This window comes from Homo sapiens, chromosome 12 (genome assembly GCF_000001405.40).
Source record: "Homo sapiens chromosome 12, GRCh38.p14 Primary Assembly".
NCBI lineage: Eukaryota > Metazoa > Chordata > Mammalia > Primates > Hominidae > Homo > Homo sapiens.
Window position 1 is genome coordinate 29,134,312 of NC_000012.12, and position 21,370 is coordinate 29,155,681.

Genomic DNA, 21,370 nt, shown 5'->3' on the forward strand with positions numbered 1-21,370 from the left:
TTACATTACCCATCCCTTTTGTTTTTTCTGAGCTGCAGCCAGAGACCACTGGTTGGTTCACAGGAATAAGCAGAGTTAGTCTAAAATGTAGGCAGAAACTTAAAAAAAAAAAACGATGAGATTAGAATTTAATGACAAGTGTGTAAGTTTTGAAACATAAGTTTTCTCTCTCCAGTCCTCATTTTTGTCAAAAACAAATCATGATAGGACTGAGTTGTTTGCAAAATAAACTTTAGTCTCATGGTTGGCCTGGTTATTTGCATAAAGTATAGCAAGAATAATCATTTTTCACATAGGCCTTTTTTCACTCTGTGTGAAGAGACCACCAAACAGGCTTTGTGTGAGCAATAAAGCTTTTAATCACCTGGGTGCAGGCGGGCTGAGTCCAAAAAGAGAGTCAGCGAAGGGAGATAGGGGTGGGGCCATTTTATAAGATTTGGGTAGGTAAAGGAAAAAAGGGGGTTGTTCTCTGGCAGGCAGGAGTGGGGGGTCACAAGGTGCTCAGTCAGGGAGCTTTTTAGGCCAGGATGAGCCAGGAGAAGGAATTTCACAAGGTAATGTCATCAGTTAAGGCAAGGACCAGCCATTTTCACTTCTTTTGTGGTGGAATGTCATCAGTTAAGGCAGGAACAGGCCATTTAAATATCACTTCTTTTGTGATTCTTCAGTTACTTCAGGCCATCTGGATGTAGATGTGCAGGTCACAGGGGATGTGATGGCTTAGCTTGGGCTCAGAGGCCTGACATTCCTCTCTTCTTGTATTAATAAGAAAAATAAAACATAATAGTGTTGAAGTGTTGGGGTGGGGAGAAAATTTTTTTGGGGGGTGGCATGGATTGATAATGGGCGATGTTTCTCAGGGCTGCTTCGAGCGGGATTAGGGGCGGCGTGGGAACCTAGAGTGGGAGAGATTAAGCTGAAGGAAGATTTTATGGTAAGGGGCGATATTATGGGGTTGTTAGAAGAAACATTTGTTGTATAGAATTATTGGTGATGGCCTGGATACTGTTTTGTGTGAATTGAAAAACTAAATGGAATAAGAGAAGGAGAAAAACAGATATTAGACTAAGAATTGGGAGGACCCAGGACATCTAATTAGAGAGTGCCCAAGGGGGTTCAGCGTAATTACTTGCTTGGTTGGTGAATTTTTAGGCTCTATCCAAGTTTTTGGGGTGCAGTTCAAGTTGGGCTGGTGTCTGGAATGAGACTGGGACCTAATAAAAAGGAGTGTCTATACAGGAGCTCAAATGGGCTGTAACCTATAGCATTCTGAGGACAGGCCTGAATTCTGCGAAGGGAAAGTGGTAAAAGTATTGTCCAGTCCTTTTTTTTTTTTGTTGAGATGGAGTCTTGCACTGCACTCTGTCTGGAGTGCAGTGGCACGATCTTGGCTCACTGCAAGCTCCGCCTCCTGGGTTCATGCCATTCTCCTGCCTCAGCCTCCGGAGTAGCTGGGACTACAGGCACCTGCCACCACACCTGGCTAATTTTTTGTATTTTTAGTAGAGACAGGTTTTCACCGTGTTAGCCAGAATGGTCTCGATCTCCTGACCTCGTGATCTGCCTGCCTCAGCCTCCCAAAGTACTGGGATTACAGGCATGAGCCACGGTGCCCGGCCAGTCCAGTCCTTTTTAAGTTGGTGGCTGAGCTTGGTGAGGTGTGTTTTTAAAAGACCATTAGTCCGTTCTACCTTTCCTGAAGATTGAGGACTGTAAAGGACATAAAGGTTTCACTGAATACTAAGAGCCTGAAAAACTGCTTGGGTGATTTGACTAATAAAGGCTGGTCTGTTATAGGACTGTATAGAGGTGGGAAGGCCAAACTGAGGAATTATGTCTGACAGAAGGGAAGAAATGACTGTGGTGGCCTTCTTAGACCCTGTGGGAAAGGCCTCTACCTATCCAGTGAAAGTGTCTACCCTGACCAAGAGGTATTTTAGTTTCCTGACTTGGGGCATGTTGAGTAAAGCTAATTTGCCAGTCCTGGGCAGGGGCAAATCCCTGAGCTTGATGTGTAGGGAAAGGAAGGGAGGCCTGAGCAATCCCTGAGGAGTAGTAGAATAGCAGATGGAACACTGAGAAGTTATTTCTTTGAGGATAGATTTCCACGATGGAAAAGAAATGAGAGGTTCTTAGAGGTTGGCTAGTGGCTTGTGCTATAGCATAGCCTGCCTTTGCTGGTGTGTGGCAATTAGGCCTGGTGGAACTGCCATCAATAAACCAACTGTGATCAGGGTGAGGAACAGGAAAGAAGGAAATATGGGGAAATGGGGTGAATGTCAGGTGGATCAGAGAGATACAGTCATGGCGGTCAGGTGTGGTATCAGGAATAATGTGGGAGGCCGGATTGAAGTCCAGGCCAGGAACAATGGTAATTGTGGGAGACTCAACAAAGAGTGAGTACAGCTGAAGGAGCCAGGGAGCAGAAAGTATACGTGTCAGGTGTGAGGAAGAAAATAGGTTTTGGAAGTTAAGAGAACTGTAGAGAGTGAGTTGAGCATAGTTTGTGATTTTAAGGGCCTCTAAAAGTATTAGGGTGGTGGTAGCTGCTGCACGCAGACTTGAGGGCTAGACAAAACAGTAAGGTCAAGTTGTTTGGATAAAAAGGCTACAGGATGCGATCCTGGTCCTTGTGTAAGAATTCTGACTGCACAGCCCTGCACTTCAGCTGTGGGTAATGAAAAGGGTTGGGATGAGTCAGGGAGAGCTAGAGTGGGGGCAGTCTCTAAAGTTGTCTTCAAGGAATGGAAAGAGGAGTGGGGAAAGGATTTAGGATCTATGGAGTCAGCTAGGTTTCCTTTTGTGAGTTTATATAATGGTTTTGTTATAATGGGAAAACCAGGTATCTAAAGTTGAAAGTATCTAACCATGCCTGGGAAGGAAAGGAGTTGTTTTGTAGAAGGTGCTGGGGTTTGAGAGATCAGTCAGACATGACCAGCAGGGAGAGCACGTGTGTTTTTATGAGAATTATGCCATCATAGGTAACAGATAAGGAAGAAATTTGGGCTTGACTGAAGTAATGGGGGCTGTCTGTGAAGCCTTGCAGCAGTACAGCCCAGGTAATTTGCTGAGCCTGATGGGTGTCAGGGTCAGTCCAAGTGAAAGGGAAGAGAGGCTGGGATGAAGGGTGCAAAGGAATAGTAAAGAAAGCAAGTTTGAGATCTGGAACAGAATAATGGGTTGTGGAGGGTATTGAGGGTATTAATAATGGGTATTGAGGATAGGAGAGTATATAGGTTTGGCACCACAGTGTGGATAGGCAAAACAATTTGGTTGATAAGGCGCAGATCCTGAACTAACCTGTAAGCCTTGTCTGGTTTTAGGACAGGTAAAATGGGGGAATTGTAAGGGGAGGTTATAGGCTTTAAAAGGCCATGCTGTAGCAGGTGAGTGATAACAGACTTTAATCCTTTTAAAGCATGCTGTGGGATGGGATATTGGCATTGAGCAGGGTAAGGGTGATTAGGTTTTAATGGGATGGTAAGGGGTGCATGATCGGTCACTAAGGAGGGAGTAGAGGTGTCTTATACTTGTGGGTTAAGGTGGGGAGATACAAGGGGAGGATGTGAAGGAGGCTTTGAACTGGGGGAAAAGATGGCAATGAGGTGTGGCTGTAGCCCAGGAATAGTCAGGGAAGCAGATAATTTAGTTAAAGTGTCTCAGCCTAATAAGGGAACTGAACAGGTGGGGTTAACTAAAAAGGAGTGCTTAAAAGAGTATTGTCTAAGTTAGCACCAGAGTTGGGGAGTTTTAAGAGGTTTAGAAGCCTGGCCATCAATACCTACAACAGTTATGGAGGCAAGGGAAACAGGCCCTTGAAAAGAAGGTAATGTGGAGTGGGTAGCGTCCGTATTGATTAAGAATGGGACGGACTTACCTTCCATTGTGAGAGTTACCTGAAGCTCAGCATCCGTGATGGTTTAGGGGGCTTCTGAGGCGATCGGGCAGTGTCAGTCTTCAGCCACTAAGCTGAGAAGATTGGGGAAGGAGTCAGAGAGCCTTGGGCCAGAGTTCCAGGGTCTCTGGAAATGGCTGCCAGGTGAGTTGAACAGTCCAATTTTCAGTGGGGTCCCACACAGATGGGTCATGGCTTACGAGGAATCCCGGGCTGTGGGCATTCCTTGGCCCAGTGGCCAGATTTCTGGCATGTGTAGCAAGCTCCTGGGGGAGGAGGTTCTGGAGGAACCCCCGGCAGCTGCAGTTCAGGCATTTGGAGTTGTGGGCTGGAGATATGGCTGGGGTTTGTCTCACAGTGGAGGCAAGGAATTGCAACTCAGAAATACATTGCTACTTGGCTACCTCTACTCTATTATTGTACACCTTGAAGGTGAGGTTAATTAAGTCCTGTTGTGGGGTTTGAGGGCTGGAACTTAATTTTTGGAGTTTTATTTAATGTCAGGAGCAGATTGGGTAATACAATGTATATTGAGAATAAGATGGCCTTTTGACCTTTTAGGGTCTAGGGCTGTAAAGCGTCTCAGGGTTGCTGCCGAACAAGCCATGAACTGGGCTGGGTTTTTCATATTTGATGAAAAAGAGCCTAAATGCTAACTGATTTTGGGAGAGGTCTGATAAAGAAAAAGGAGCATTAACCTTGACTATGCCTCTAGCTCCAGCCACCTTTTTAAGAGGAAATTGCTGGGCAGGTGGGGGAGGGCTAGTTGTGGAAGGAAACTGTAAGCTGGACCCGGTGTGAGGAAGGGAGGTGATAAAAGGATTATAGTGTGGGGGATCAGAGGCTGAGGAAGAATTGGGACTTGGCTCAGCCTGGCTAGGAGCAGCCTGGGGAGAAGGGGAGAAGTCAGATGGGTCTGTAGAAAAGGAAGATTAGAAAGACTCAGCGACGCTTGGGGTTGGGACTGGGAAGACAGGCGGGAGGGAAAGAAGGAGGATTTGGGATGAGTCACATTGGGAACAGAGACTAGGGAGGGAACAATGTGTAAAAGAATGCCTGGACGTCAGGCACCTCAGACTATTTGCCTATTTTACAATAAGAATTATCTAGATCTTGTAGGATGGAAAAATTGAAAGTGCTGTTTTCTGGCTATTTGGAACAACTATCGAGTTTATATTGGGGTCAAGCGGCATTGTAGAAGAAAAATAAGGCATTTAGGTTTAGGTCAGGTGTGAGTTGAAGAGGTTTTAAGTTCTTGAGAACACAGGCTAAGGGAGAAGAAGGAGGAATGGAGGGTGGAAGGCTGCCCATAGTGAAGGAGGCAAGCCCAGAGAAAAGAGAGAGTAGAGACACGGAGAGAAGGGGTGGGGGGTGCTTGCCCCCAGGAAAGTGGAAAAGGGGTAGAGACACGGAGAGGAGGGGTTGGGGGGTTCTTGCCCCCCACAAAAGTGGAGAAGCAGTAGAGACACGGAGAGAAGGGGTTGGGGGGGTTGTTGCCCCCTAGAAAAGCAGTACTTGCTGCTAAGGGTGAAGGAGAAGGGGCTGGGGGGTTCTTGCCTTCCAGAAAAGCAGAGAAGGGGTAGAGACATGGAGAGAAGGAGTCAGGGGGTTCTTGCCCCCTAGAAAAGCAGAGAAGGGATAGAGACATGGAGAGAAGGGGTCGGGGGGTTCTTGCCCCCCAGAAAAGTGGTACTTGCCACTAAGGGTGAAGGACCAAGGCAGGCTTCCTCGCGTGGTCAGACACCTCTGAAACGTGGATGAATAATCAGGCAGGCATCCCCATGTGATTAAACACCAAGGGAAGACTGTCTTCCTGAGTCCGTGACTGGCGCCGGAGTTTTGGGTCCGGATAAAATGCGTCTCCTGTCTCTATGAGAAAAGGAAAGGAACTGAAATTAAGAGAAGGGAGAGACTGAAGTGTGGCGCCAAGATTGAAAGGAGAAAGAGGTTGAGGGATAGTGAGAGAGGTTGGAGAAGAGAGTAAAAAGAGGCCGCTTACCTGATTTAAAATGGGTGTGGTGTTCCTTGGGCAGGTCAGTCTGAGGATCTGAGGTTGTAGGTGGATCTTTCTCACGGAGCAAAGAGCAGGAGGACAGGGGATTGATCTGCCAAGGGAGGTCCCCTGATCTGAGTCACAGCACCAAAATTTAACTCGCATCCATGTGAAGAGACCACCAAACAGGCTTTGTGTGAGCAACAAGGCTGTTTATTTCACCTGGGTGCAGGCAGGCTGAGTCCAAAAAGAGAGTCAGCAAAGGGAGATAGGGGTGGGGCTGTTTTATAAGATTTGGGTAGGTAAAGGAAAAAGAGGGGTTGTTCTCTGGCAGGCAGGAGTGGGGGTCACAAAGTGCTCAGTCAGGGAGCTTTTTAGGCCAGGATGAGCCAGGAGAAGGAATTTCACAAGGTAATGTCATCAGTTAAGGCAAGGACCAGCCATTTTCACTTCTTTTGTGGTGGAATGTCATCAGTTAAGGCAGGAACAGGCCATTTAAATATTACTTCTTTTCTGATTCTTCAGTTACTTCAGGCCATCTGGATGTATACGTGCAGGTCACAGGGGATATGATGGCTTAGCTTGGGCTCAGAGGCCTGACACTTTTAAATTGGCTTTGATGGAACTCTCTTCCACAAGGAATTTCAGATAAGACCTTTTAAAGCTGAGCTTAACAATGGGTTTGTACCCTCAAATACCTATGAGTTAGGTAAATTCCTCTCTTCTTAAGGTGGCAAAAGCATGGGGCTCCTGGGCCTGATAGAAAGTGACATACTTGGCCAGGCGCAATGGCTCACACCTGTAATCCCAGCACTTTGGGAGGCTGCAGAGGGCAGATCACAAGGTCAGGAGACCGAGACCATCCTGGCTAACATGGTGAAACTCCGTCTCTACTAAAAATACAAAAACTTAGCCGGGTGTGGTGGTGGGTGCCTGTAGTCCCAGCTACTTGGGAGGCTGAGTCAGGAGAATGGCGTGAACCCAGGAGGTGGAGTTTGCAGTGAGCCGAGATCATGCCACTGCACTCCAGCCTGGGCAACAGAGCAAGACTCCATCTCAAAAAAAAAAAAAAAAAAAAGTGACATTCTTTACTCACCACAGTTTAGAAACCCTGTATGGGGGCTGTGTAAACAAAGTATGAGGCCAGTTTTCCCAGGGGGCTTTTATTGCCTCTGCAAGTCAAACTTGATTCCTTAAAGGGAAGCATATCCTTCCAGCCAAAGCCTTGGTAAAACATCCAGTTTCTCCAATTGTGTCCTGTTGCAAAAGAAAATGGATTCTTATTGCACTAATGCAAATAAGTATATTGCCATAAGCTAAGAATACTCACAAATAGTTTTCAAATTCTGGAGAAGCCAGGCAGAGAGCAACAAATATGTTTGAAATTTTGTTCACAGGTATATATTTTACTCAATTATTAAACACTGTAAATAGCTCAAAATAAGTTTCCTTGATTCTGAGAAACAAAACAAGTATCAGCAAGGATTTAAGCACAAAGGTTAAAAAGATTACTTCAGTTTTCTGTTAGTTCAGTCCATTCTGTTAACTTTTATTCTGTTTGATATCCATGAACATTTCAACTCTTCAGGTGTCCTGTACATTTTTCCTTTGTTCCAATATTACAATCTTCAGAGATATCAGAAACCTACATTTAACAGCACCTGTCAAAGTCCTATAGCTGATTATAAACCATCTTTTGAAAAGGATTAAAGCAAGGCAACACTTATCTGTGAATGACAAAATATCCAGGGTAGTTACAGTCAAAAACACAATTGACAAAGAAATGTAGTTATTTCTGTGGTTTACAATAACTTGACATAATAAACTTAATTATGATTGATAGCATATATTCAGACATTAGAATTTTTAAAATCCCATACAATTTTGGAACATATATTAATATTATTCACTGAAATATAACCTGAAGAAGATTAAACATTATTTTGGCAATCCCATGTAACTAAACATGTGAAATAATCCTGTTTACCTTTCTTTTGAATACTCCAAGAGCCCTCTGTAGCATCCAAAAGCTAGAGGTTAGGAAAGACAATTTTTGAAGCTGAAGTTTGACTTTAGGAAGTCTGTTAAATGTGTTGAAGGTTCAAAACACCTGATATTATGAAATAGAATAGCAGATTACCATAAGTTATTTATTTAGCCAAAATGATGACTCAGAAATTTTTAAAAAGGCAAAAACTTTTCATTATCTTTTACTATTACATGAAAATCTTGTTCAAGAGAGAAAGCCAAATTTTACTCTTGCATTAGTCTACTATTAATATCAACTCCATTTTTAAATGAAACCTTATAGATAATTCTATTCAATCTTAACCAGTTTGACCATCAGATGAAATTCTTGTAATCCTTTTATAACTCTACAAATTTTTGTGAAAGAGCAGGTCAGTGCCTCAAGAAAACCTTGTTGTGCTTTTATTTCAATGCTTAATTTACAGAAAAACCAAATAATACCCTTTTGAAGTTAGTCAATATGTTACACATAGAGCTTCTTTTATAAGATCATTTTTATAAACCTTTCTCCACTTGTTTAAACCTTCAGTTTTATCTTGTCTAATTCAAAACAATCCTTTAACCCTAGGCAAAAATTTACATTCCCTTGTCTTCTTATCTTTTACTAAAAACATATTTTACTTTGTTTACACACATTGCATGTAAGTCTATTTTCAGTAGTCTCAATTACATGTTATAACAGCAACTCTTAGCAATTTTTAATTTTAGTGTAAAACTTGGTTATTTAAATTATGTAGTAGGCACAGATAAGATCTGACTCTTTCCAGTATAGTTAAGGGTGTGGTTAATTCCATATGTCCTCAGCCTTACCAAATTGTAAAGCAGGCAGGTCAAAAAGTTCTCAAATAACAAAGAAGTAGTTTATAACCTTAAAACATTTCGCAAACCTAGTATCTAACCCACATAATTTAGACCACTTGTTTACATTCTGAAGACATTTGTATTTTACCAATTATCTTTAAAACTGTTTTTATTTCTCAAAGATTAAAGTCACGTGAACTAAAAGGCATTACAGCTTTTATTTTTCCTTCAAAATATTTGGTCTAAGCACTTGTTTTTCTTTAGGCTAATCAATTAGAGCTCTTTTTTATAAATATCACACATATAACACATATATAACTATACAGACAGATAGAAGAAGATACAGTAATTGTAAGATTTTTCATTTGCCAATCTCATAATTGGATTATTGGCCTCAGGATGGAGGCTTTCAAAAGCACCGCTAGGAGAGCATGCAATTTCTACAGCCTAATAAACAGGCATAGCCAGAAGACAAAAACAGATTTTGAGAGGTATCCATCAGCTTTCAATTCCTGGGATTCTGTGAGGAAAACAGTTTTCTTCCGAAAATGGGGTCCACAGCACCTTCTCTGTTTTTACCGCCAAGTCCCATGCCCTCAGAAGTTACCTTAGGGCCTCTCCTGCATGCATAAATAGTGGCAAGACAAAATGGGGAAAAATAATTCAGTTGACAGAAAAACACCTTTTTCCAGAAAAACAAGATCCAGGAAGAGAAAAACAAAAAGGCCTTTAAAATATACCTATAACTTTGATATCCACTTTCAATTAAGCTGAGCATCCTTTAAGAAAATCCTTTTAAATTCCTTAGTACCCAACTTTAGCCATGCCAAGTAGCCAATATTTCTAGCTTTTGAACTTTACCAAAAGTGAAACAGGTGAAAATAACAAGCCTCAATTAAGGTTATGACTTGACCGTGAGTGTACAAAGTATTTTCAAAGAGGTGGTAAGCAGTTTCTACAAAATCTAGAATCTTTAAAGGTAGCTGAGAGAAAGAATGATTCAACAAAGGAAGCCAGAAGTTATTCATGGAGAGAAAAAGAATCAGCAAATGGCCAAAGTAACACAGATATTAACCAGAAAGTATCCATCCCCTAAGCCAGGATTGAACCTGCACTGCCATTGTAAAATGGCAAAGGCCAAAAGAAAGTACTACCATGTGGTTACAAGATCAAGCTCCCAAGGATGTAAAACAAGATGGAGACCTGCACCAAAGCTCGTTACTGACCAGTTTGCTGGGCTGGCTTGAACAGCGGGCTTTTTGGGGTCCTAGGCCTGCATTCTATCCTAAGGCATTCCTCCATGTGACAAAACCATACAGAAAGACACACACAACGCTCACCAGATTGCCTATAGCCCAAGACTGGCCTCATAAATCCTTTTTTCCATTAATCAAAATGTTACAGAGGATGTAAACAGTGACCTTTACCATTTATGTTACCAGTTTGCACAGGGAGAGACAGGCCAAAAGTCTGACTGGTAAGAACTTTTACTTTTTGCCAGCATGTCAGCCTTCTGGGTTCCCCTCCTCCAAGATCAATTTTAAGCCAAGCAGTTTAAGGTTTGAGGAAACTAATTTTTCCCAGTTTGGGGGATGCATCCGAGGAAAGCGTCCTGTGTTACAGGGACACAATTACCCATCTGTGAAGAGAGGACAGAGGAGGAAAAAGAAAAAAGAAGTTATCTCTTTTTTTTTTTTTTCCAGAGGAGTCCCAGTGATTCAGGAGGTATTCAAGACTCCTGATAGATTGAAAACTATTGGTTACCCATCTAGGAAGAGGGGAACAAGGCGTCCCTAGTCCTTTTTTCTTTCTGCGAAATATCCAGGGTATGTGAGGGAGAGAGAGAAGAGGCCCCCCTTCCTTCTTCCATCTTCATATCCCCAAGTCCCAGTAACCTCAACAGGGTGCTGCCCATGGGTGCCAATGCTGCTTTTCCCCCCATATTAACAGGGAGGCCTAGGTGGTGATAATTACCTGCATTTAGCCATGTGCTGCCTCCTCCCTGTTTTTGGTAAGCTTTGAGTTCCCTAGACCTCATTTATGCCATGGATACTAGCATGACCTCCATCCATGAAATGATAGGGGGCCTAATTGGCAGGAATTCATCATGCTAAGGAAAAGCTGTGGAGCTGCTTCCTCCTCAAACGAGGGAGAGAAAAGAGTGTCTCGTGTTTAGGGGTCTGGGCCTAATAAGATGTCGTCCGAAAGGAAAAGAAACCTACCTCCTGACATGGTGGAGAAAAGGGGGAAAATAAAATAGCTTAAGTGTAGGGTGGGGAGGATGGTTTGGGGCAGGGGAAAAAAAGGAAGAAAAAAACCTCTTGCTTTATGCAAATGGGTTCTTCTAACAGGGAGAAAAACTCTTAATTGTTGAACCCTCTTCTTGGCTCAGCCAGGGGAGGAAGACTTCATGTGGCGGGAGGGGGCAGTGAATGGGAAACGCTGGCCAGCTCTCCAGCCAGCTGTGTGGGGACTTTGGCCTCCGAGACTGCCTTGGGACCCAAGGCTCATTCCTGCCCTGCCTGGCCATTGGACAGAGCATGCGCATGTGGCCAACTTGGCCATGTGCCCCAGCAGGGGGCATGGGGGGGGTGGTCAGGGAGTCATTGCTTGCCTGTGTGTCCCATATGTACACCCCTAACCATTGAGGTGGGGGTGTGGAATGCCTGTAAGAACGAACAGAAATCACGTTGTTCTGAATTGCATATCTGATGACTGGGCCAAAGGCTCACTCTACCTAGTAATATCTGTGCAGCGTGTAATAATACCCTTAACATTATAAAAGAAGAGATAGGCACCGTGACAATCCCCCAAAAAAGAAGGAAAATGCCATAGAAAAGATTGGATTGGAACGAGGCCGACATTCCCAACCCCCAAGAATGATGGAGGGGTGGTGTCGGGTTCCTCTCCAGCATCCTGTCCTCTGTAGCTGTGCCATTCATTCTTAATTGGCTCACCAGAGGTTCCGTGCTGCATCTGCCTTCAGAAAAAGTCTGAGGACAAGAAGGCACAGAAAGGAAAGAGAAAGGTTTGGGACAGTCTTTGTTTACTCTTTCTCCAGGTATCCCAGGCGAGCACGCAAACTGATGCAGGATTTTTTTGTCCTTAGCTCAGCTAGATCTGTGTTCTTGTCTCATAACCAGGAAAAATTAGGCATGCAGACACTCAAAGAGTGAGTGGTGTAGAATTTATTAAGTAAAAGGAAAGCTCTAAGCAAAGAGGGGGTCCTGAAAGCAGGTTCCTAGTTGCCCCCTTTACAGTTGAATACAAGGGGTTTTACATACAAGCTGATAAGGCTGAGTTCCCTATTTGTATAAGGCACAAATTCCTGGTAGCTCCACCCCATTCTTCCAGTGTGCATGTGGGTCCTTAGTCCTCTGAAGGCATGTTTAGGTAAGTCCTCTATGCAAGTTCCCTTATCTGCACAAAACATGGGTTGGAGGTTCTCTGGGGACCCTTCCTTACTGTCTGCCTAAAGCAAGCTGGCTAACTCCTTTCAAAGTTAACATCAATTGGGTGGCTTAAAACACAGAAATTTATTCTCTCATGATTTTGGAGGTTAGCAAACTGAAATTAAGATTGAGGCCATGCTCCCTGTAGGGGTTCCGGGGGAGAATCCTTCTTTGCCCCTTCCAGCTGCTAGTGGCTGTTGGCATTTCTTGGCTTCTCTGGCTTCCACGTGGCTCCAGTTTGTCTCCGCCTTATATTCACATCACCTTCTCCAGTGTGTGTGTATCTCAAATCTCCCTCTGTTTTTATCATGTGAGTATATTTGCCATTGGGTTTAGGACTCATCTGGATAACCCAGGATGATCTCATCTCAACATATTTAACTTAGTTAAATATAGAGTCTTTTTTTCAAATAAGGTCACATTCACAGATTCTGGGGATTTGCCTCAGGACATATCTTTTGGGGCCACTATTCAACCCACTACATTGCCTCTTTTTGTTATTATCTGTTATGGGTGGAACTGCGTTCTTCTCCGCCCCTGCCAGTTTCACATATTGAAGTCCTAACTCCCAGTACTCTAGAATGTGACCTTATTGGGAAATAGGGTTGTTGCAAATTTAATTAGTAAAGTTAAAATGAGGCCATTAAGGTGAGCTCTAAATCATATATGACTGGTATCTTTATAAAGGATAAATTTTGACACAGACATGAACATAGGGAGAATGCCATATGAAGATTATAGGAGACAGGGGTCATGTGTCTACAAGCCAACAAGAAACCACTGGAAGTAGGTAAGCATCATGGAAAATTCTCTCTCAAAGCCCTCATAAGGAACCAACCCTGCAGACATCTTGATCTTGGTCTTCTAGCCTCCAGAATTATGAAATAATACATTTCTATAGTTTAATCCACCCAGTTTATGTGCATCCTTATGACAGCCTTAGCAAACTAATACATTCTACATATATGAATAGCGTTTTAAATGGTGATAATCAAATTGTGGTTTTGTAATCTATAATTAATGTTGTATTTTATCTATGAACATCCCACTGAAAGTATGCTTTTAATTTCCTACTTTATAAACAACTCGGTAATAAATATGCAACTATGTACATGCGGCATTTCTCTTTTATGGATTATCTCCTTTGAATACATTGTAAGACATGGGAATCTAGGTCCAGAACAAGAAAAAATTTCGTTACTGAACACCTTGGGAATGTGTTGCTAAATTGCTTTCCAACAAAAGCGTGATTACAATTTACCTTCCATCTGCTATCTGTTAAGTGATTTCTATACGTTTTCACCAGCATTTGACATTATCATTTGAAGTGCTGTCACACACATTTTGAAGATACATTCAAATTTATTCTTGAGGAGGGGAGGGGTAACGAAAAATACTATAAATTTGGTTGTAACTTTTTTTCTGTCTCTTGCATTCAGGCGGTCACCAGAGGAAATTAGTCAGTGCCTTTAGGCTACACTTAGCTTAACACATTTCATTAAAGAGCCCAGTAGTAGAGAATTCAAGATGGGTGTTATTATTTTAATTTCATGAAATCACTCCTTAATTCTAACTTTCAAAAGTCAAATTTTATTTCTTTAATTGCATGTGGATTGTTATAATGAGGAGAATCAGAACAGCTTATAGGACAATATTTCTTTTCTATTTTTCTTAACACACCATATTTATTTGGAAATTTACCTCCTACATTGTCCAGGGAATTAGGATGGGCGTTGGCCGTTTTTCAGCACTTCCTGGTTGAGGCCAAGGGCTCCACTCACGTGCCTGTCCATCCCTCTACAAGGCTTCCCTGGCAGCTTGTTTTTCCGTTTAAAATTTAACAATGACCAAATCCCAAAAAAGCTACCAGGCTAAGAAATGAAACATCTTTTTTTCTTTTAAGTCCGGAGAAGTGCTGCTGAGCACAGCTGGCTCACTGCTGTTTCTGCGGCCCCCATCTCTGATCCTTTCTAGTCTCCTACCCACCCCCACCCCACCATAGGCAGGCAGAGCCGGATTTCTGCCCTTCAAACCCCGAGTGTGAGGAAGCCTCACCTGAAGTCCTCGCATCACCCTCCACCCTCACGCCCTTGGGTTTTAAAAAGCCACTGCGTTCGTGGGTCACTGCAGGGCGCCTCCGCAATGTCTTTAGCAGATACAAGAGCATCCCTCCCACGGGATGTGCAGTGTAGTCAAGCTGAGTAAACTGGGATTTTTGGCTGCCTTTTCTGCTAGGGTGGGTGGGGAAAGGTATGTCCCCCAAGCGTTCAGTTCAGACTAGAACCTTTGAATCTCTCTCCTGTCTCGGTCTCTCCCTCCACCCCCCTACCCCGCCACCTTTCACGGTGTGGGAGTTCTCCTTTCCCACACCAGAGAGGGGCGCCTTTCTAGCTTCCTTGTCCCCTCGCCCACTGATTAAAAAATGGAGAAAAAAACCAACCCCAAAACCCAAAACAAAACAAAACAAAAGCCCCAAACAAACAAACAAACCAAACCCACCGAAACCAAAACCAACTCCCCTCCCCCAAACCACACAAATGCGGGAGTCATAGCCAGTGGATCCGCTGGTGCTGAACGAATGGAAGCGCGGGGCGGGCCTGCGCGCGCGGCCGCCCTGCCCACGATGCTGTCGCCCCCGCGACCTGTAGGGCCTTCGCTGGCCCCTCACCCTCCTCCCGCCCCGGGCTGAGGCTGCCGCCGGTTTCGCGCCCAGTGCCGAGGCAGCGGCGGAGCCGGGGAAGGTCGGAGGGAGGGTGGTTTCCTCCCGCCCCACACCCAGTCTCCGAGCCGGATATATAGAGTGTCACGTTTGGGAGCCGAAAGACTGGAGCCGTTTCCTTGTGGCTGGAGCGCTTCCCGTAGCCTCGGGGAAGGAGCAGGATTTAGAGGACCACTAGTTGGACCCCATCCTCGTGCTGGAGGAACAGGTATTCCAGGGTCCCCAGCCCTGGCGCTCGCAGAGCCCACGCGCTCCAAAAGCAGAGACCGGACTGGGGGTGGCCCAGGAGGGAGGGCTCGGCTGGGTTCGCAGGGCGGGGCGGTTCCCGGCGGGACCTCGAGGAGGGTGGGTGTGAGGCCGGGTGGGAGGAGAGAAGCATTTGCGGAGGCTCTGCCCCCTGAAGCTGCCCCCGGCTGCACCCCAATCGTCACCGGCCGTTTACGCGCGGTTGGCGTCGGCGGAGCCCGCCAAGGTGGGGCGCGCGGGGGTTGCAAAGGGCAGAAAGCCGGGAAGGACCCAGCAAGGTTAATGTGGGGGGCCGCGCCTTGGGGACTGGGGACCCGGGAAGAGAGGCGCGGGGCCGAGTCCCACCCAGGCCTCCTGGGCCCTTGGGGCTATTCCTGGAGAGAGCGCGAAAATGCCGGGGCCACGTGTGAAACGGCAGCGGTCCTAGGTCCCCTCCCGGTGCCTGGGACCGCCAGGGCGCCCAGTCCTGGTCCCCGGAGCAGGTCCTCGCCAGCCCCCAGCCCCACCCCAGGCTGCGCACGTCCCTACCCTCCCACCTGGGCCTCGCCGGGGTCGTGGCTGACGCGCGCTGGGGCGACTGGTGAGGCCAGGGCGGGCTTTGCCCCTGTAGGAAGTTTTAGACATCTTCCTGCGGCCTGGGCATCCTGGGGGTGTGCAGGGGAGCAGGTGCCAGCAGACTCCCAACTGGAGTAGATGGCTTGCAGGAAGGCTGCTCAACACTCCTAGCAAGTAGAATTACCCGCGGGGCAGTCTCAGTCTATTAAAACAATTCATGCCCAATCGTATCCTACAAACCAGAGGAAGGCGTCTCACCTGCCAGCGGTGGCACCATTTCTTCCACGGTTGAGTTATGTGGTGTGAGCAACCAAGGTTATCGCTGGATCTGCAAGAGTTTGGCCACTCGTTGAATCACGTAAAGTGCCCCCATTATGTGATGAGCAAGGACAGAGTAGGGTCAGAAAAGTGACCAGGGAATTCAGGTAGATCGTGCTTTTCTGTTTGCTAGGTTGAGAGAAATTTGACACTGGGCAAATGGAAATTTGAGAATTACCCCGTGGTTTCAATTACCCATCTCTGTATATTCCCATTTATAAGAGCTGGAGATTTGACTGACAGGTGTAGTTAGTCCAAAATTTAGAAAGGGGGGCAAGGGACTAAATAAAAACTTAAGGCAGCCACCTAAACTGCAAGAGCAGGCATTTCCGCAGAAGGGATATTTGTGTGTGAGACTTCTAGGAGATGGGCATGAGGTTTTTACCAGGCCGACGCGTGTGTCAATATTTCATCGGTAGTATTTCTCAGGATCCACGTCTTTACAGTACTCTTTTCCTAATTCTGAGGGCTGCTTCTGCCCCTGCTGTATTAACAAATTCCTCACTTACTCCTATTTCTAACATTGGGCTATAATTATCTATAAAAGAGATGTAAATCACCATGAGTTGGTAAATCATACAGCTATTAGAGAAATTAAAGTAAATGAAAATATGCTTTCCTTAAAGGAAGCTAAAATGTGACATCCAGTTACAGAGGAAGAGGGAGAGGTTGAAAATAAATAAAATGGCTTATATTAGGGTATCACTTTGGGGTTTATAAAGCATATGATCATCTTGACCATCTCACCATCTGCTTTCCTATCTCCTGAGGAAGAAGCATTCTTGAGTGCATTTGTTTCTGGCAACGTCTCATCAGTGTTAAGAATTCCTTGATTTTGCATTAATTCCCATGCACTCATGAAAACTTACTTATTCACAAATATAGCCTTGTGAAGGATCATGCACAGTGACCACCAGCATGCTTGTCCCTACCAATATATTCTGACATTGTAGGCTCTGTTGGAACATGTATTACCTTTGAAGAGGGTAACAGACCAATTTGAGAATCTGATGAAAGCTATGGAATATGAAAGACAAATGCATACATATTAACACAAAATTCCACCTACAATTTCAGGAGTTCATGGCCTCCTTGATGCCCAGCCTCCTACATTCTAGATGTCCAGAGGCTCCAGGCAGGGCCAGCTTCATGGAAATACAAAACTGCAACCGCACAGGGCCTTGCACTTGGAAGGGCCCTGCGTTTGGTAATGTTCTGCTATCACCGTCTGCTGGCTTAATAATTTTCAAAGAGGCTCTGGATCTTCATTTTGAACTGGGTCCTACAAATTATATCCTGACCCCAGGCTGACAAACTTGGTCTAAAACTAACCAAATAACAGTGTTTGAACAGCAATCCCACATTTACGGTGAGTTCTCCAGTACAAACCTGAAATTTATCTGCTGCTCACTTAGGTGCTCTTGGACATGTCATTCAGTCTTCCTACATTTCAGTTTCCTCATTGACAAAATAAAGACAACAGATGACACCTTCTACTTTCTTTATTTTCAAGGTTGTACTATCTCTAAGTAAAAAGAGGTAATAATTGTAAAAAATGTCTACTTGCTTTGAATAGTTCTTTTCTAAAAAATATGCTGTTGTTGAAGGGTTAAACTTTGCCCTCCATTTTTCAGAAGTAGCTTGAGGAAGGTTGATTGAGCACACTGAAAAGACTGTAGAACCTTTCTGACCCTTATAGTTTGGTGGAAAATAAAACAAAAAGTAGGCAAGTATTCAGTGTGTTAAATACTCCTGAAATATCATTATTTGGACAAAATTAGAATTTTCAACTAAAGGTGCAGAATAACTTCTTGGATCCCAAAGGTAGTTATTGAATTAAATTAATGTTTGGGTCTAATTCATCCAAACGTCGAACGGTGAGAAAATGAGCCAATGACTGAAATTTTTTGAGGGGGTAATCCTTTTTGTTTCATTTAATTTAAAAAATCTGTAAGTTCAAAAGTTTGATCAAGTCATCCTTTAAAATATCCTAGGAAATGCCAAATCAATTTAAAGTACACCTAGTCTCTTGCCAAATACACCTAGTGACCTTTTGTAACTCTGGTGCCTCTTAAAGAGGAACTGAGAAAACAGGCAAGTCCTCTGTCCCCAGACTCCTCCCTTAACTACTCTCTGACCTCAAAACTTATCTTTATTCCAGCTGTCCTTGTTAGCATGATGGCAATACACTCAGAACCACTGAGGAATAAAATAGTGTGAAAGGGAATTGATCAAACTCCTTTATTAAGGTCTTCTAATGGCACTAGAAGGGATGAATGGAGATTCGTTCTTCATGCAATTACTCTGTGCAGGGGCATGCAGTGTACTTTAGGATACAAAGTAACAGTTCCTGTATTCAGTAAACTTATGACATCATTAGTAAGACAAATATGTCAATATAAGGTATTAATTTAAAATAGCAAATAAGTAGTTACAAGGCAATAGAAGATTTGGCACCAAATGAGTGGTGCAGAAAATAAGTGCAATTAATTCCCAAGAAGAGAATAAAATAAGCTGAAATGCTGAGGGAAGCATAAGAGGAAAGGCCCTTAGAGATAGCCCTTAAAGTTCTGCAACAGAGATGAACAAACAAGACTTTTGGGTGCCCAGGGACCACAGTGGCACTTTGGGGTGGGAAGTGTGCAGAAAAGGAATATCTGGATGCAGCTGAAGTTTTATGTAAGGAAAAGGCTGGAGATAAGTCTGTAACAGAAATTCCCTCTAGCTAGCTTCATTCATGTAATAAATAATTAGGCCCATTCTGTGACCAGACACTGTGCCAGCTTTTCCACATTTGGTGTTGAACAAAGCAGATGTGTTCCCTATTTTTTTGGAACCTACAGACATTTACAAAATAAACATGTAGGAATACATTGTGGGAAGTAGCGTGGAGAAGAACAGAATGCTGTAAGAAAAAAATCAGGGGCACTGACTCCGTTTTGGTGTTCTGAGAAGGCTTGCTCTTTGACAAAGAAAGATTTCAATTGCTATTGGAAAGAAGCATAGGGGTTAACTTGACTAAAAAAAAAATCAACAAAGAGAAAAAGCAATCTGGGCACAGGAAATTGCAAATGGGAAGGTCTTAAGAGAAAACGCTTGCAGCATTCAGGGGACAGAGAGAAGGCAGGCCTTGTGACTGCACTTAGGTGAGGGCGCTGCTGAGAGGCAGGACACCAGTTGGAGAGGGGAGCAGGTGGCTGGTCATGCCCAAATTCACAGGTGTTGATAAAGATCTTGAATTTAATTTGAGTGGGTTGCCATTGAAGACTTTTAAGCCAGAGACTGTTCTAATTTCTATTTTGAGGAACTCTTTATGTAGACAATAAGGAGAGTGAACTGGAGGGATAAAGGATTGGAGGTAGGAAGACCAGGGAGGACAGAGCGCAGGTGAGAGTACTGTCAGGGAGGAGGGAGAGAAGTGCACAGACTTGAGGTGTGTTTTGAGAGTTGGATTGACATGTCTTGGTGATAGATTGGATATGGGAGGTGGGAGAGGCAGAAAGAAGAGTGGGAATGAATTCATTTAATAGATACTGCTAAATGCTTATAATCCAAAACAGTAGGCTCAGATGCATATGATTTAGAGATGCCGTAAGAAGAACTGAAAAATAAAACAAAAACTGATCGCCCTGGTTATTACCTCTGGAAAAGTATACTGGCTGCTGGGATGGGGTGAGAGAAAGGAGGGAGGAGATTTTTGCTTTTCATACTATCCTCTCTACTGTTTGAATGATTTTTAAAATCATGCTTGCATTTTATAATTTTTTAAAAAGTTATCAGCATGACAGATATAGCTCCTGTCTTTCTGACTTGAGCACATAGATGGAATATGGTGTAATTTCCTAAAATGAGAAAAATTAGGGAAGAAAGATCTGATCCTCTCCGAAATAATTATTCCAAAACATAATTTACTCCCCTGCTTAAAACCCTGTCATTCCTCTGCCTTGTCTATAGCAGTTTTTCCTAAACTGCAGTCTATGAATTATTATTTTCTTGGGATATTAACAGTTAAGTAAAGGAAGAAAAGCTTCCCTGATGATATGACTTTGAGAAACTCTTGATTTAACCTACTTAACCAGTTGTGGTTTTGTTTTTGTTTTTTTTTTTGTTTTGTTTTGTTTTGTTTTGTTTTTTGAGACAGAGTCTCTCTCTCTTGCCCAGGCTGGAGTGCAGTGGTGTGATCTCAGCTCACTGCAAGCTCCGCCTCCCAGGTTCATGCCATCCTCCTGCCTCAGCCTCCTGAGTAGCTGGGACTATAGGCGCCCACCACCACGCCTGGCTAATTTTTGTATTTTTAGTAGAGACGGGGTTTCACCGTGTTAGCCAGGATGGTCTCGATCTCCTGACCTTGTGATCCGCCTGCCTCAAAGTGCTGGGATTACAGGCGTGAGCCACCGCACTGGGCCCCTACTTAACCAGTTTTATTGCAGGAATCCTCAGAGCATGCATGTCCTAATGCATGTTAATAATCAAGAAAAGAGAGATCTTTTATGCTACATTTCCTAAACTTGACGTTGAAATGCTTTTCCAGCAGAACATCTAAGAGAGCCAGCATTCAGCATAACACGCTTTGGGAAATGCTGTCCTATATTAATAGATTAAACCTTTTAACATCTACAGTTCTCTATTAACCATAAGCTTCTCTCATCTCTTTAATCCTACTTAGTTGGTGGAAAGCGGGAGACTGGAATTGACTCTGTTAATAGGCATTAAGTTGATGATGAAAACAACCCTGCTCTGTGGATGATATTCAGAAACAGGATCTGCAGTCTGATTAAAAGCAAAATTGTTTTTCATTTCTACTTCTTTGGCAAGGTTCTGCAGGACCTCATCAAGATACATTTTGTGAAGTCTCTGTTTCATACATGTGACCTGAGGCATAAACAATGGGGAAGACTCCCCAGGGCCTCTTAGGTCCCGTGGTAGGCCTGGGCCTTATCTGATCTTTGTAAGCCATCCCCTGCAGGGCAATACAGTGTGACTACATAGGGCATCTGTAGGAACATTGGTTTTTGAGTCTCATATATCCACTTCCTGGATCCCCATGCATTTGCATGGTGGTAGGCTGGAAGCAGAAATGCAACTTATGGCCAAAGAACAGTGCAGCAGAGCATAATGGAAGAAACAGGTTCACACAGCTGTAGAATTCTTCCTTGGCTTCATCAGCTCTGTGTTCCAGCCCAGGGGTCAGCAGCTTTGGCCCAAGGCTGAAATCTGGCCCCTGCCTTTTTGTTTATTCTTTGAACTAAGAATGGTTCTTATATTTTTAAAACTTAGAAAAAATCAAAAGAATAATATTCTGTGACATGGGAAAAATTATAGGAAATTTAACGTATATGAAATTTAACCTTCAGTGTCTATAA

General features: G+C 43.9%; 1 protein-coding gene and 1 long non-coding RNA gene across 2 annotated transcripts in view, besides 3 other annotated features; one reads left to right on the forward strand and one right to left on the reverse strand.

Annotated features, from left to right (window-relative positions):
* Positions 1 to 339: 339 nt before the first annotated feature.
* LOC124902908 (uncharacterized) lies at positions 340 to 7,263 on the reverse strand. The gene is made up of 2 exons (XR_007063257.1): positions 5,895 to 7,263; positions 340 to 5,764 (listed from the first exon to the last, which is right to left on the reverse strand). It is a non-coding gene; the product is annotated as an uncharacterized LOC124902908 (long non-coding RNA).
* Positions 11,392 to 11,893: an enhancer, noted in NCBI's record as "NANOG hESC enhancer chr12:29298636-29299137 (GRCh37/hg19 assembly coordinates)". NCBI's record gives its function as "activates a minimal SCP1, AML or CMV promoter by ChIP-STARR-seq in primed H9 embryonic stem cells {active_cell/tissue: H9 hESC(primed)}" and the evidence as "EXISTENCE:reporter gene assay evidence [ECO:0000049][PMID:30033119]".
* Positions 14,815 to 14,874: a silencer, noted in NCBI's record as "silent region_4319". NCBI's record gives its function as "represses an Ori minimal core promoter by ATAC-STARR-seq in GM12878 lymphoblastoid cells {active_cell/tissue: GM12878}" and the evidence as "EXISTENCE:reporter gene assay evidence [ECO:0000049][PMID:35858748]".
* Positions 14,967 to 21,370, forward strand: part of FAR2 (fatty acyl-CoA reductase 2) — a 186,339-nt gene continuing 179,935 nt past the window's right edge. Inside the window, exon 1 of the mRNA NM_001271783.2 lies at positions 14,967 to 15,096. The gene's annotated coding sequence lies outside the window, so the exon portion shown is untranslated. The remainder of the gene's footprint in view (positions 15,097 to 21,370) is intronic.
* Positions 15,185 to 15,334: a silencer, noted in NCBI's record as "silent region_4320". NCBI's record gives its function as "represses an Ori minimal core promoter by ATAC-STARR-seq in GM12878 lymphoblastoid cells {active_cell/tissue: GM12878}" and the evidence as "EXISTENCE:reporter gene assay evidence [ECO:0000049][PMID:35858748]".